General features: G+C 40.9%; 1 protein-coding gene across 4 annotated transcripts in view, besides 1 other annotated feature; it reads right to left on the reverse strand.

Moving 5' to 3' along the window:
- DIPK1A (divergent protein kinase domain 1A) overlaps nucleotides 1-15,710 on the reverse strand; it is a 128,734-nt gene that overhangs the window by 58,734 nt on the left and 54,290 nt on the right. The window lies entirely within an intron of this gene.
- Nucleotides 10,902-11,401: an enhancer, noted in NCBI's record as "H3K27ac hESC enhancer chr1:93367921-93368420 (GRCh37/hg19 assembly coordinates)". NCBI's record gives its function as "activates a minimal SCP1, AML or CMV promoter by ChIP-STARR-seq in naive H9 embryonic stem cells {active_cell/tissue: H9 hESC(naive)}" and the evidence as "EXISTENCE:reporter gene assay evidence [ECO:0000049][PMID:30033119]".

Genomic DNA, 15,710 nt, shown 5'->3' on the forward strand with positions numbered 1-15,710 from the left:
CCCACAGGTTTTGTTATATTGTGTTTCTATTTTCATTTCTTTCAATAAAATAAAAAATTTCGGGGTGGAGCCAAGATGGCCGAATAGGAACAGCTCCAGTCTACAGCTCCCAGCATGAGCGATGCAGAACACAGGTGATTTCTGCATTTCCAACTGAGGTACTGGGTTCATCGCACTGGGGATTGTCAGACAGTGGGTGCAGGACAGTGGGTGCAGTGCACCGAGCCTGAGCTGAAGCAGGGTGAGGCATTGCCTCACCCGGGAAGAGGAAGGGGTCAGGGAATTCCCTTTCCTAGCCAAGGAAAGGGGTGACAGATGGCACCTGGAAAATCGGGTCACTTTACCCTAATACTGCGCTTTTCCAATGGTCTTAGCAAACAGCACACCAGGAGATTATATCCTACGCATGGCTTGGAGGGTCCTACGCCCATGGAGCCTCGCTCATTGCTAGCACAGCAGTCTGAGATCAAACTGCAAGGCGGCAGCGAGGCTGGGGGAGGGGTGCCTGCCATTGCCGAGGCTTGAGTAGGTAAACAACGCGGCCAGGAAGCTCCAACTGGGTGGAGCCCACCGCAGCTCAAGGAGGCCTGCCTGCCTCTGTAGACTCCACTTCTGGGGGCAGGGCATAGCCAAACAAAAGGCAGCAGAAACCTCTGCAGACTTAAATGTCCCTGTCTGACAGCTTTGAAGAGAGTAGTGGTTCTCCCAGCACACAGCTTGAGATCTGAGAACGGACAGACTGCCTCCTCAACTGGGTCCCTGACTCCCGAGTAGCCTAACTGGGAGGCACCCCGCAGTAGGGGCAGATACTGACACCTCGCACAGCTGGGTACTCCTCTGAGACAAAACTTCCAGAGGAACGATCAGGCAGCAACATTTGCTGTTCATCAATATCCGCTGTTCTGCAGCCTCTGCTGCTGATACCCAGGGTCTGGAGTGGACCTCCAGCAAACTCCAACAGAACTGCAGCTGAGGGTCCTAACTGTTAGAAGGAAAACTAACAAACAGAAAGGACATCCACACCAAAAACCCACCTGTACGTCACCATCATCAAAGACCAAAGGCAGATAAAACCACAAAGATGGGGAAAAAACAGAGCAGAAAAACTGAAAATTCTAAAAAGCAGAGTGCCTCTCCTTCTCCAAAGGAATGCAGCTCCTCACCAGCAATGGAACAAAGCTGGATGGAGAATGACTTTGACGAGTTGAGAGAAGAAGGCTTCAGATGATCAAACTACTCCGAGCTAAAGGAGGAAGTTCGAACCCATGGCAAAGAAGTTAAAAACCTTAAAAAAAGATTAGATGAATGGCTAACTAGAATAACCAATGCAGAGAAGTCCTTAAAGGACCTGATGGAGCTAAAAAACCACAGCACGAGAACTATGTGATGAATGCACAAGTCTCAGTAGCCGATTCGATCAACTGGAAGAAAGGGTATCAGTGATGGAAGATCAAATGAATGAAATGAAGCCAGGAGAGACGTTTAGAGAAAAAAGAATAGAAAGAAATGAACAAAGCCTCCAAGAAATATGTGACTATGTGAAAAGACCAAATCTACATCTGATTGGTGTAACTGAAAGTGACGGGGAGAATGGAACCAAGTTGGAAAACACTCTGCAGGATATTATCGAGGAGAACTTCCCCAAGCTAGCAAGGCAGGCCAACATTCAGATTCAGGAAATACAGAGAACGCCACAAAGATACTCCTCGAGAAGAGCAACTCCAAGACACATAATTGTCAGAGTGACCAAAGTTGAAATGAAGGAAAAAATGTTAAGGGCAGCCAGAGAGAAAGGTCAGGTTACCCACAAAGGGAAGCCCATCAGACTAACAGCGGATCTCTCGGCAGAAACTCTACAAGCCAGAAGAGAGTGGGGGCCAATATTCAACATGCTTAAAGAAAAGAATTTTCAACCCAGAATTTCATATCCAGCCAAACTAAGCTTCATAAGTGAAGGAGAAATAAAATCCTTTACAGACAAGCAAATGCTGAGAGATTTTGTCACCATCAGGCCTGCCCTAAAAGAGCTCCTGAAGGAAGCACTAAACATGGAAAGGAACAACCGGTACCAGCCACTGCAAAAACATGCCAAACTGTAAAGACCATCGAGGCTAGGAAGAAACTGCATCAACTAACGAGCAAAATAACCAGCTAACATCATAATGACAGGATCAAATTCACACATAACAATATTAACCTTAAATGTAAATGGGCTAAATGCTCCAATTAAAAGACACAGACTGGCAAATTGGATAAAGAGTCAAGACCCATCAGTGTGCTGTATTCAGGAAACCCATCTCACGTGCAGAGACACACATAGGCTCAAAATAAGGGGATGGAGGAAGATCTACCAAGCAAATGGAAAATAAAAAAAGGCAGGGGTTGCAATCCTAGTCTCTGATAAAACAGACTTTAAACCAACAAAGATCAAAAGAGACAAAGAAGGCCATTACATAATGGTAAAGGGATCAATTCAACAAGAAGAGCTAACTATCCTAAATATATATGCACCCAATACAGGAGCACCCAGATTCATAAAGCCAGTCCTCAGAGACCTACAAAGAGACTTAGACTCCCACACAATAATAATGGGAGACTTTAACACCCCACTGTCAACATTAGACAGATCAATGAGACAGAAAGTCAACAAGGATATCCAGGAATTGAACTCAGCTCTGCACCAAGCGGACCTAATAGGCATCTACAGAACTCTCCACCCCAAATCAACAGAATATACATTCTTTTCAGCACCACACCACACCTATTCCAAAACTGACCACGTAGTTGGAAGTAAAGCACTCCTCATCAAATGGAAAACAACAGAAATTATAACAAACTGTCTCTCAGACCACAGTGCAATCAAACTAGAACTCAGGATTAAGAAACTCACTCAAAACCGCTCAACTACATGGAAACTGAACAATCTGTTCCTGAATGACTACTGGGTACATAATGAAATGAAGGCAGAAATAAAGATGTTCTTTGAAACCAACAAGAACAAAGATACAACATACCAGAATCTCTGGAACACATTCAAAGCAGTGTGTAGAGGGAAATTTATAGCACTAAATGCCCACAAGAGAAAGCAGGAAAGATCTAAAATTGACACCCTAACATCACAATTAAAAGAACTAGAGAAGCTAGAGCAAACACATTCAAAAGCTAGCAGAAGGCAAGAAATAACTAAGATCACAGCAGAGCTGAAGGAAATAGAGACACAAAAAACCCTTCAAAAATTCAATGAATCCAGGAGCTGGTTTTTTGAAAAGATCAACAAAATAGATAGACCGCTAGCTTGACTAATAAAGAAGAAAAGAGAGAAGAATCAAATAGAGGCAATAAAAAATGATAAAGGGGATATCACCACTGATCCCACAGAAATACAAACTACCATCAGAGAATACTACAAACACCTCTACGCAAATAAACTAGAAAATCTGGAAGAAATGGATAAATTCCTCGACACATACACCCTCCCAAGACTAAACCAGAAAGAAGTTGAATCCCTGAATAGACCAATAACAGGCTCTGAAATTGAGGCAATAATTAATAGCTTACTAACCAAAAAAAGTCCAGGACCAGATGGACTCACAGCCAAATTCTACCAGAGGTACAAGGAGGAGCTGGTACCATTCCTTCTGAAACTATTCCAATCAATAGAAAAAGAGGGAATCCTCCCTAACTTATTTTATGAGGCCAGCACCATCCTGATACCAAAGCCTGGCAGAGACACAACAAAAAAAGAGAATTTTAGACCAATATCCCTGATGAACATCGATGCAAAAATCCTCAATAAAATACTGGCAAACTGAATCCAGCAGCACATCAAAAAGCTTATCCACCATGATCAAGTGGGCTTCATCCTTGGGATGCAAGGCTGGTTCAACATATACAAATCAACAAACGTAATCCAGCATATAAACAGAACCAATGACAAAAACCACATGATTATCTCAATAGATGCAGAAAAGGCCTTTGACAAAATTCAACAACCCTTCATGCTAAAAACTCTCAATAAATTAGGTATTGATGGGACATATCTCAAAATAATTAGAGCTATCTATGACAAACCCACAGCCAATATCATACTCAATGGGCAAAAATTGGAAGCATTCCCTTGAAAACTGGCACAAGACAGGGATGCCCTCTCTCACCACTCCTATTCAACACAGTGTTGGAAGTTCTGGCCAGGGCAATCAGGCAGGAGAAGGAAATAAAGGGTATTCGATTAGGAAATGAGGAAGTCAAATTGTCCCTGTTTGCAGATGACATGATTGTATATCTAGAAAACCCCATCGTCTCAGCCCAAAATCTCCTTAAGCTGATAAGCAACTTCAGCAAAGTCTCAGGATACAAAATCAATGTGCAAAAATAACAAGCATTCTTATACACCAATAACAGACAAACAGAGAGCCAAATCATCAGTGAATTCCCATTCACAATTGCTTCAAAGAGAATAAAATACCTAGGAATCCAGCTTACAAGGGATGTGAAGGACCTCTTCAAGGAGAATTACAAACCACTGCTCAAGGAAATAAAAGAGGATACAAACAAATGGAAGAACATTCCATGCTCATGGGTAGGAAGAATCAATATCGTAAAAATGGCCATACTGCCCAAAGTAATTTATAGATTCAATGCCATCCCCATCAAGCTACCAATGACTTTCTTCACAGAATTGGAAAAAACTACTTTAAAGTTCATATGGAACCAAAAAAGAGCCCGCATTGCCAAGTCAATCCTAAGCCAAAAGAACAAAGCTGGAGGCATCTCACTACCTGACTTCAAACTATACTACAAGGCTACAGTAACCAAAATAGCATGGTACTGGTACCAAAACAGAGATGTAGACCAATGGAACAGAACAGAGCCCTCAGAAATAATGCCACATATCTACAACTATCTGATCTTTGACAAACCTGACAAAAACAAGAAATGGGGAAAGGATTCCCTATTTAATAAATGGTGCTGGAAAAACTGGCTAGCCATATATAGAAAGCTGAAACTGGATCCCTTCCTTACACCTTATACAAAAATTAATTCAAGATGGATTAAAGACTTAAATGTTAGACCTAAAACCATAAAAACCCTAGAAGAAAACCTAGGCAATACCATTCAGGACATAGGCATGGGCAAGGACTTCGTGTCTAAAACACCAAAAGCAATGGCAACAAAAGCCAAAATTGACAAATGGGATCTAATTAAACTAAAGAGCTTCTGCACAGCAAAGAAACTACCATCAGAGTGAACAGGCAACCTACAGAATGGGAGAAAATTTTTGCAATCTACTCATCTGACCAAGGGCTAATATCCAGAATCTACAATGAACTCAAACAAATTTACAAGAAAAAAACAAACAACCCCATCAAAAAGTGGGTGAAGGATATGAACAGACACTTCTCAAAAGAAGACATTTATGCAGCCAAAAGACACATGAAAAAATGCTCATCATCACTGGCCATCAGAGAAATGCAAATCAAAACCACAGTGAGATACCATCTCACACCAGTTAGAATGGTGATCATTAAAAAGTCAGGAAACAACAGGTGCTGGAGAGGATGTGGAGAAATAGGAACACTTTTACACTGTTGGTGGGACTGTAAACTAGTTCAACCATTGTGGAAGTCAGTGTGGCGATTCCTCAGGGATCTAGAACTAGAAATAACATTTGACCCAGCCATCCCATTACTGGGTATATACCCAAAGGATTATAAATCATGCTGCTATAAAGACACATGCATATGTATGTTTACTGTGGCACTATTCACAATAGCAAAGACTTGGAACCAACCCAAATGTCCATCAGTGATAGACTGGATTAAGAAAATGTGGCACATATACACCATGGAATACTATGCAGCCATAAAAAAGGATGAGTTCATGTCCTTTGTAGGGACATGGATGAAGCTGGAAACCATCATTCTCAGCAAACTATCGCAAGGACAAAAAAAACAAACACCGCATGTTCACACTCATAGGTGGGAATTGAACAATGAGAACACATGGACACAGGAAGGGGAACATCACACACCGGGGCCTGTTGTGGGGTGGGCGGAGGGGGGAGGGATAGCATTAGGAGATATACCTAATGTTAAATGACGAGTTAATGGGTGCAGCACACCAACGTGGCACATGTATACATATGTAACAAACCTGCACGTTGTGCACATGTACCCTAAAACTTAAAGTATAATAAAAAAAAAATTTCCTTTTTCATTTCTTCATTGACCCATTGGTCACTCAGGAGCATGCTGTTTAATTTCCTGTTTGTAACATATCAGAAGTTCCTTTTTTTTTTTTTAAAGAGACAAGGTGTATTAATTTGTTTTGTGTCACTATAAAGGAATACCTGAGGCTAGATAATGTATAAAAACAAAAAAAAGGATTACACTTTGGGATGCCAAAGCAGGTGGATCGCTTGAGGTCAGGAGTTCAAGACCAGCCTGGCTAATGTGGTGAAACCTTATCTCTACTAAAAATACAAAAATTAGCCATGCGTGGTGGCGTGCACCTATAGTCTCAGCTACTTGGGAGGCTGAGGCAGAAGAATTGCTTGAATCTGGGAGATGGAGGTTGAAGTGGGTCAAGATTGTGTCACTGCACTCTAGCCTGGGCAACAGAGCGAGACTCCATCTCAAAAAAAACAAAAAACAAACAAACAAAAAAAACAAGAGGTTTAATTGGCTCATGGTTCTGCAGGCTGTACAAGGTACAAGAAGCATGGTGCCAACATCTGCTCAGCTTCTGATGAGGGCCTTCAGCAACTTACAGTCATGGTGAAAGTGACAGGGAGCCAGCCTGTCACATGGTGAAGAGAGCAACGGGGGAAGGGGGAAGTGCTACACACTTTTAAACAACCAGATCTCACATGAACTCAGAGCAATAACCCACTCATCACCAAGGGGATGGTGCTAAGCCATTCATGAGAGATCCACCCCCATGATCCAAACACCTCCCACCAGACCCCATCTCCAATAATGGGGATTACATTTCAACATGAGATTTGGAGGGGACAAACATTCAAACCATATCACAAAACATATCACCTTGTCATCCAGGATAGAGTGCGGTGGTATGAACATAGTCACTGCAGCCTTGAACTACTGGGCTCAAGGGATTCTCTGATCTCAGCCTCCTGAGTAGCTGGGACTATAGGTGTGAACCACCATACCTTGCTAATTTTTATTTGTTTACGGTTTTTGTAGAGATGAGGTCTTGTTTTGTTGCCCAGGCTGGTTTCAAACTCTTGGCTTCAAGTGATCCTTCTGCCTTGACTTCCCAAAGTGCTGGGATTACAGGTATGAGTCTGTCTTATTTAGAGATAGGGTCTCACTCTGTCACCCAGGCTGGAGTGCACTGGCACAATCATGGCTCACTGCAGCCTTGACCTCCTGGGCTCAAGCAACCCTCCCACTTCACCTTCCCGAGTAGCTGCGACCACAGACATGTGCCACCATGCCTGGCTATTTTGCTTTTTAATGTTTTTGTATAGACGGGGGTCACCCTATGTTGCCCAGGCTAACCTCAAACTCCTGGATTCAAATATCCTCCCATGTCAGCCTCTCAAAGTGTTGGGATTACAGGCATGAGCAATTGCACTTGGCCTAAAATGTACTTTATATTCATTTCTGTTGTTGATTTTCTGTCTAGATGATCTATCCAAATGCTGAGTGTGGAGTGCTGAAACCCCCAACTTTTATTGTATCAGACTCTATCTCTCCATTTAGATCAAATAAGATATGCTTTATATATATCTGAGTACTACAGTGTTGGGTTCATATATATTTATAATTGTTATATCCTCTGGCTGAATTGATCCCTTTAACATTATGTAATGACCTTCTTTGCCTCTTTGTATAGTTTTTGACTTAAAGTCTGTTTTATCTGACATAAGCATAGCTACTTCTGCTCACTTTTAGGTTCCATTTGTGTGAAATATCATTTTCCATCCCTTCACTTTCAGTCTATATGTGTCTTTACAATTGAAGTGAGTTTCTTGTAGGCAGCATATAGCTGGTAATGACTTTTTCATCCATTCAGCCAGTCTATACTTTTTAAGTGGGGGATTTAATCTATTTCTCTTAAAGCTTATTATTGATAGGGGAAAACTCGCTTCTTCATTTTATTAATTGTTTTCTGCTTGTTTTGTATATCCTTTGTTCCTTTTCCTTTTTTCCTCTCTTAATGTTTATCATTGTCATTTGGTGGTATTTTGTAGTGCTATGGTTTGATTCTTTTCTTGTTCTCCTTCATGAACGTGCTCTACAAGTTTTTTACTTTTGAGTGTTCATCATAGTGATGATTATCTTTTCACTTCCAGAGATAAGACTTCCTTAAGTATTTCTTGTAAGGCTGGTCTAGTGGTGTTGAATTCCCTTTATTTTTGCTTATCTGGGAAACACTTTATTTCTCCCTCATTTCTGAAGGATAGCTTTGCTGGGTGTGGTATTCCTGGCTGGCTATTTTTTTTTTCTTTCAGCACATCCCATTCTCTCCTGGCCTGTAAGGTTTCTGCAGAGAAATCTGCTGTTAGTCTAATGAGGGTTCACTTATATGTGACTTGACACTTTTCTCTTGGAGTTTTTAGAATTCTTTGTTTTTGACTTTTGACAATTTGACTGTAATGTGCCTCAGGAAGGATCATTTTGGGTTGAATCTTTGAGCTTCCTTGATCTGGATGTCTATACCTCTCCTCAGTCTTGGGAAGTTTTCAGCTATTATTTCATCAAGTAGGTTTTCTACACCTTTTCCCTTCTTTTCTCTTTCTGAACTCCCATAAGACAAATATTTGTTCACTTAATGGTGTCCCATAAGTCTTGCAGGCTTTCTTCACTGTTTTTCATTCTTACTTTTTTTTCCCCCTGACTGGGTAATTTCAAATGATCTGCCCTCAAATCCAGAGATTCTTCTGCTTGATCAAGACTGGTGTTGAAACTCTCTAACATATTTATTTCATTCATTGACTTCTTCAGCTGCAAATTTTCTGTTTGGTTCTTGTTTATGATTCTATCTCTTTGTTGAATTTCTTGGTCATATCATGAATTGTTTTCCTGATTTCATTGTCTATCTGTATTTTCTTGTATTGTATCTCAATGAGTTTCCCTAAGATCATTATTTTGAAATTCCTTTTCTAGAAATTCACTGATTTCCTTTTCATTGGGGTCTGTCACTAGAGAGTTATGTTCCTTTGGCAGTGTCAGGTTTCCAAATTGCAGCCCTACCCTACTCCTGAGGCCCAAATCTTCAGAGCACCCCTTCCTCCCTAGAGTGTGGCCAGTGTTGTGCCCTGCCCCCTAGGGTAGAATTATAGCTACAACCTAGCCCTGTGGACCCAAGCTGCTAAAAGGTATATCATACAGATCCTGGCTTGGTAAAACTGGCTTTCCTTGCTTTTCTTCAGCTTTCCTTGCTTTTTCATGTTTTTTTTTTTATGTCCATGTGTTGATGTTTGTGCAGCTGGAGCAACAACTGCCTCTTGAAAACTTTCTAAAGTGGTTTTCATAGAGAAAAACTTTCACCTATAGTTGGAACTTAGTGTGCTGATTAGGAAGAGTACAATGACTCTGTCCAGGTAAGTGTAGTGGTACAGTCTCTGTGTAGCTTCTTCAGCTGTGTTCAATGTTAGCAATAACTGCAGACACCTCAATGGCATAGGCTATAGAAATCTGTGGTTGTGGCAGGGTGGCAGCATACATTGTTAATGTCCTCAGTATCAAGGGCCTTTGGGGTCCTTCTATTCTTATTTTCCCCAGAATGGGGAGACTTAGCTGAGGGGATCCTTTTTTGTGTCAGGTCTGACATGGCCTACAAGCAGATGTAGCAGTGCTGGGTTCTGGGAGCAGGTGTTCAGAGCAGCTGTGAGGCCAGGGTCCTAGGTGCAGGGTTTTGCCAACCTATTGTAGCAGCTGGGTCTTGGGGCACAGGTTCATTTTCTGTGGCAGGTTGGATGTAGGCTGCCTACTGAGCTAGGATCTGTGATTGTGAAGTACTCCCTAGCAGCTTGGGCCCACGGAGCTAGGCTGCAGCTGTGATTGTACCCCTAGGGGTCACAGTATAGCACTGAACCACTCTGGGGAGGAAGGGGTGCTTTGGAGATTTGGGGTTCAGGAGCAGGGTATGGCTGCAACTTGGAAACCTGAGCCAATACGGCTCAGTAACAACTCAGGTCCCAGTGGATGAGGCACTGTGTAGTAGTGACTGTATACCCTGAGATGGTGGGACTTGGAAGTAACTCAGATTCTGTGATGCCAGGTGCAGTGGCAGCAAATATCCCAGAATAATGGAACACAGCTGTTGTTTGGGCCCTGGGAGGCAGGGAATGCACAGCAATGACTATATACCCCAAGGAGAGGGGTGTCAGCAGCTCAGACTCTAGGGAGCTAGTCCAGTTCCAGGGAAGCAGGGTACTAAAGTTGTCTGGCTTATAAGGTGGGATGTCTCAGCTCAGCCACTGCTCTGTTTCCCTAGGACACAGGATATTACATCAGCTCAGCCCTGGGATGCACAGCTGCTCAGCTTAGCCAGTGTACTGATTACCTAGGGGGTGAAGTGCCACTTCAGCTCAGATTGGCTGGTGGGGGACGCGGGAGGGCAGTGTGTGAATGTTCTTGGAAGCCCAGGCACCATTTCCCTGGGATGCAGGATGCCACTTCACCTTAGGTACCGAGGTGTGTGACCACTCTGGGCAGCCAAGGCATTGTTTTCTGGGATGCAGAGTGCTGCTTCAACTTAGGCACTGGGGAGGCCTGAGCAGCCTAAGTACTGTTTTCCCAAGAGACAGGTTACTACTTCAGCTCTGGCCCAAAGGGCAGGGTAAGGGGTAGGTGGAGTAGCTCCACCTCCACTTGTCCCCACAGGGAAGAGTGTAAAAGCTAAACACAGCTTGGCTTGGGGATGTGTGGCCACTGGGCTGGGGTAGTTCAGCAGTGGCTCAGCCTCAGGGATGAAGGGGAGCTGTGGCTACTCACCCATGGAGGAAGACACACTCCAGACACAGTACCGGCTCCAAGATGGCATAGTGCAGTAGCCATGAGGCCCACAAGGAGTGGAGCACAGTGTCTACTTCTTCATCTATAGGGAGACCATAGCTATGTGGACTCTAGGTGGCTCCCTCAGCTGGCCTTAGTGTCTGTGAAAACTGCAGGGGACCCTAATGGTGAGGACTATAGTTGGCCAAGGTGTTGATAGGGGTTGCTAAGATCTTCTTGCTTACCTCCTCACTGCAGGGAGAAATTTCCCCTGGTTTCCAGCTGATCCTGATTAGGGGGTGGGGTGGTGGAGGATGATGTTGCCTTCCGTTCTCTATGTGGCCCTACCAAGTTCCTGTGCTCACCTGTTTCTTTGATTTCTCCAATGTACTCCAGTACCCTCCTTCAGTTATTTTCATTAAAATGTGGTTTAGCTATTGTTTTGGTTCTTTGTGAGGATGATGACCACGAGGGGCTTCTAGTCGGCCATCTTGCTGATGTCACTTGGAGCGTGCCTGAGTGTTTTATTATTTCCTCAGGAGAGACATTCAGTAAGTAAAATTCTTAGGTCAAAGGGTATGCATTGCAGTTTTAAAAATTTCTGAAACATAATGTTACACTGCTTTCTTTTTATTTATTTTTTGAAACAGGATCTCACTCTATTGCCCAGGCTGGAATGCAGTGGCTTACTGCAGTCTTGACCTCCCAGGACCTCAGGTGATCCTCCCACCTCAGCCTCACAAGTAGCTGGGACTACAGGCACACACCACCACTCCAGGCTAATTTTTGTATTTTTTGTAGAAACAGGGTTTTGCCATGTTGACCAGGTGGGTCTTGAACTCCTGGGCTCAAGAAATCCTCCCACCTTGGCCTCCCAAAGTGCTGGGATTACAGGGGTGAACCACTATCCCCAGGCTAATGTTACACTGCTTTCTAAAATGCTTGTAACAATTAGCATTCACTGCATTTTACCTTCTCCAGCATCCAATTCTATAGGCAATTACAGTTTTAGTTTCATTTCCTTGACAGTGGCCTTGACACTTTTGAAAATATGCTCTCTTAATATTAAGTACTAACTCTGGTAAAAGTCCAGTTATACTTAGACCTGTGAGGCACTGATAAGAGCTGGTGAATGACCAACTCAGAACTTCTAAAATGCAGAATTTCAGGAATTTATCTAGGAAATGTATGTCAAAGTGATTATAGGAGGCAGGAGAGCTAGTCAAAATCTAAAGAACCCTCAACATAGGGATGACCTAGGTCAAATTCAGGTATCGTAAGAGCTACCAAGTTTGAATTCTTTGGGCTTGACCTAAAATAATTATAACAGTGAAATCTAAGATAGGCCGTCAGGTTATGTGGGCCCAGGCAATGAGAAATATGGCCTTAAACTGCCCATCTAAGTGTCTCAGAGAACAGAGAAAGGTTGTTACTGTAGCTTTCCTTCTTAGAATGAACATCACCAACACCTATTTAACTATTCTGTTTTCAGTTTGATAGTAAAATGTTGATAGCTGCAGCAGTTTTTAGAAGAGCCTAAAAATCTCTTTGGAATGGTAAAACCCTATTTTGCAAAACATGTAAACCAGATGGCCATTTCTAATTTTGGAATTTCTCAGACAGGTGTTAATCCAAAATTGTCTTCTCATTTCTCTCTTAAATTCCAAAGAAGGCTGAAACCAAAACAAAACTTATAGAAAATGTTTCAGAGACAAATGACAGATCTTTTGATCAAAGCAATTTTTACTTAGAAGGAAACAGCTGACTTACAAAGAAATTGCACTGAGACTATTTCTAAATAAAAGTGTTTTTGCTGTGGCATTGCAGGGAATTGAGGCACCTTCCATACTGGTGGTTACTTACAGCAACACAAGTACCTAGAAAAATAATAGGCTTCACCTTGCCATATGGGAAAATGCTGAAAAATAATTACCCAAAGATCCTCATGAAAATATACTGATAGAATTACCTATGGTGTTTAGGGTAATAGGTATCTGGTAAATTATGTTTTAAGTGAATGTTGCTATAAATCTCTTAAATACACAGCATATACCTATAAGCAAAAGATGGCAATGGAATTTTTCTTAATTTTTTAATTTTTGTCGGTACATTATAGGTGTATATATTTATGAGGTACACGAGATTTTGTACAGGCATGCAATGAATAATAATCAACTGAGGGTAAATGGGGTATCCATCAACTCAAGCATTTATTTTTTCTTTATGTTATGAACATTCCAATTATACCTTTTTAGTTATTTTTAAATGTACAATAAATTACTGTTGACTATAATTACTGTTGTGCTAACAAATACTAGATCTTATTCATTCTAACTATATTTTCATACCCATTAACTATCCCCACTTCCCGTCCACCCCACTACCTTTCCCAGTCTCTAATAGCCATCATTTTACTCTTTACAAGTTCGATTGTTTTAATTTTTAGCTCTCACAAATAAGTGAGAACATGTGAAGTTTGTCTTTCTATGCCTGGTTTATTTCACTTAACATAATGACCTCCAGTTCCATCCATGTTGTTGTAAATGACAGGATCTCATTTTTTTCCTATGGCTGAATAGTACTCCATTGTGTATATGTACCACATTTTCTTTATCTGTTCATCTGCTGATGGACACTTAGGTTGCTTCCAAATCTTAGCTATTGTGAATAGTGCTACAATCTAATGGGAATGCAGAAACCTATTTTATATACTTAATTCCTTTCTTTTGGGTGTATACCTAGCAGTGGGATTGCCAGATCATATGGTAGATCTATTTTTAGTTTTCTGAGGAACAACCATGCCATTCTCTATAATGGCTGTACTAACCTACATTCCCATCAAAAACATACAAGGGTTCCTTTTTATCTACATCCTTGCCAGCATTTGTTATTGCCTGTCTTTTGGATAGAAGCCATTTTAACTAGAGTGAGATACATTTCTCTGATGATCAGCAATGTTAAGTACCTTTTCATATACCTGATTGCCATTTGTATGTTTTCTTCTAAGAAACATTATTCAGATCTTTTGCCCATTTTAAAATCAGATTATTAGATTTTTTCCCTATTAAGTTCCTTATATATCCTGGTTATTAATCCCTTTGTCAGATGGGTAGTTTGCAAATATTTTCTCCCATTCTGTGGGTTGTCTCTTCACTTGGTTGATTGTTTCCATTGGTGTGCAGAAGCTTTTTAACTTGACGTGATTCCATTTGTCCATTTTCACTTTGGTTGCCTGTACTTTAGGGTATTAATCAATAAATCTTTGCCCAGACCAATTTCCTGGAGAATTTCCCCAGTGTTTTCTGGTAGTAGTTTCATAATTTCAGGTATTAGATTTAAGTCTTTAATCCATTTTGATTTGATTTTTGTTTTTGTTGAGAGATAGGGGTCTAGTTTAATTCTTCTGCATAAGGATATCCAGTTTTCTCAGGACCATTTATTGAAGACACTGTCCTTTCCCCAATGTATATTCTTGGCACCTTTGTCAAAAACGAGTTCACTGTAGATGTATATATTTATTTCTGGGTTCTCTATCCTGTTCCCTTGGTCTCTGTGCTTGTTTTTATGTCAGTGCCATGCTGTTTTGGTTATAATAGCTCTGTAGTATAATTCTAAGTCAAGTAATGTCATTCCTTTAGTTTTGTTCTTTTTGCTCAGGATGACTTTGGCTATTCTGGGTCTTCTGTGGTTCCACATAAATTTTAGGATTTTTTTTCTATTTCTGTGAAGGATTTAAAAAATTATACCAAAGAACAAGCTAGCTTGATACTGTTTTAAATGTAAGTTTCTCTTCTTCCACCCACTATTTCCTAACATTACTAGCCATTAATATATGGATAATAGGGCCATATCTGCAAAGAAATATTAAATCAGAGACTAAGTCTTAGACAGATGAGTGTTAGCTAGCATAGAAGCACAAGTTGTTAAGGGCTAGAAGAGGCCTTGAAGATAACATAGTTGGAATAACTTTATAAATGAGGCCCCAAAATGGTTTGGAATTTGTCAACTTATCATCCAACTAGTAAGTTACGTGAACTTGAGTAAGTTATTAAGCTTCTTTGAGTTTTAGTGTCTTCATCAATAAAATGCAGATATAAAATTTAATCATGGACAAAATATATATTTTAAAATTCCTATTTATATAAGTATGATAATGTATATAATATGAATACAATGATACCTACATTGGGGGATATACTCAAAAAATTTCCCAGTAGAGATGCACAGTCAAAAAAGCATGCAGATGAGTGAAAAAAAGGCACAGTATGTGGGGCCTGGTAGTGTTTGTTTCTCCCAGGTAAGTGTAATACCTAGTACTCTTGCTCTTTTCACGATGCCATGGAATTCCGTAGAGAATCTATGGACCTAAAACCAGCCTACCTGTAAATGAAAGGGCTGAGCTACTTGTATGAGAGCCTAAATTACCTCTTATCTTTAAAGATTGTACCTCTGAATTAGAACTGAATCCATTGTGGACCATTATAAACAAGCTCACATTTAACTGCCTCTACTGCACCTATCCTATAAATAAACAAAAGAAGTCAGTGTCTGGGTTCAGTTAGGCTCTTTAAATGTTTAATATTCAAATGAATGACAAAATAATCTAAAATTTCTAATCAATATTTTTAATTGCTGGAGTCTTAAGGTATGATTTAAACAAGTTAATTGGGGAAATAATATAATAAGGAGATGGGAAGATGTTGCCATAGCACAGTCCATAATGCTAAGTAAAAATTTTAAAGT

The sequence above is a fragment of the Homo sapiens genome, chromosome 1, assembly GCF_000001405.40.
Source record: "Homo sapiens chromosome 1, GRCh38.p14 Primary Assembly".
In the NCBI taxonomy this organism is placed as follows: Eukaryota; Metazoa; Chordata; class Mammalia; order Primates; family Hominidae; genus Homo; species Homo sapiens.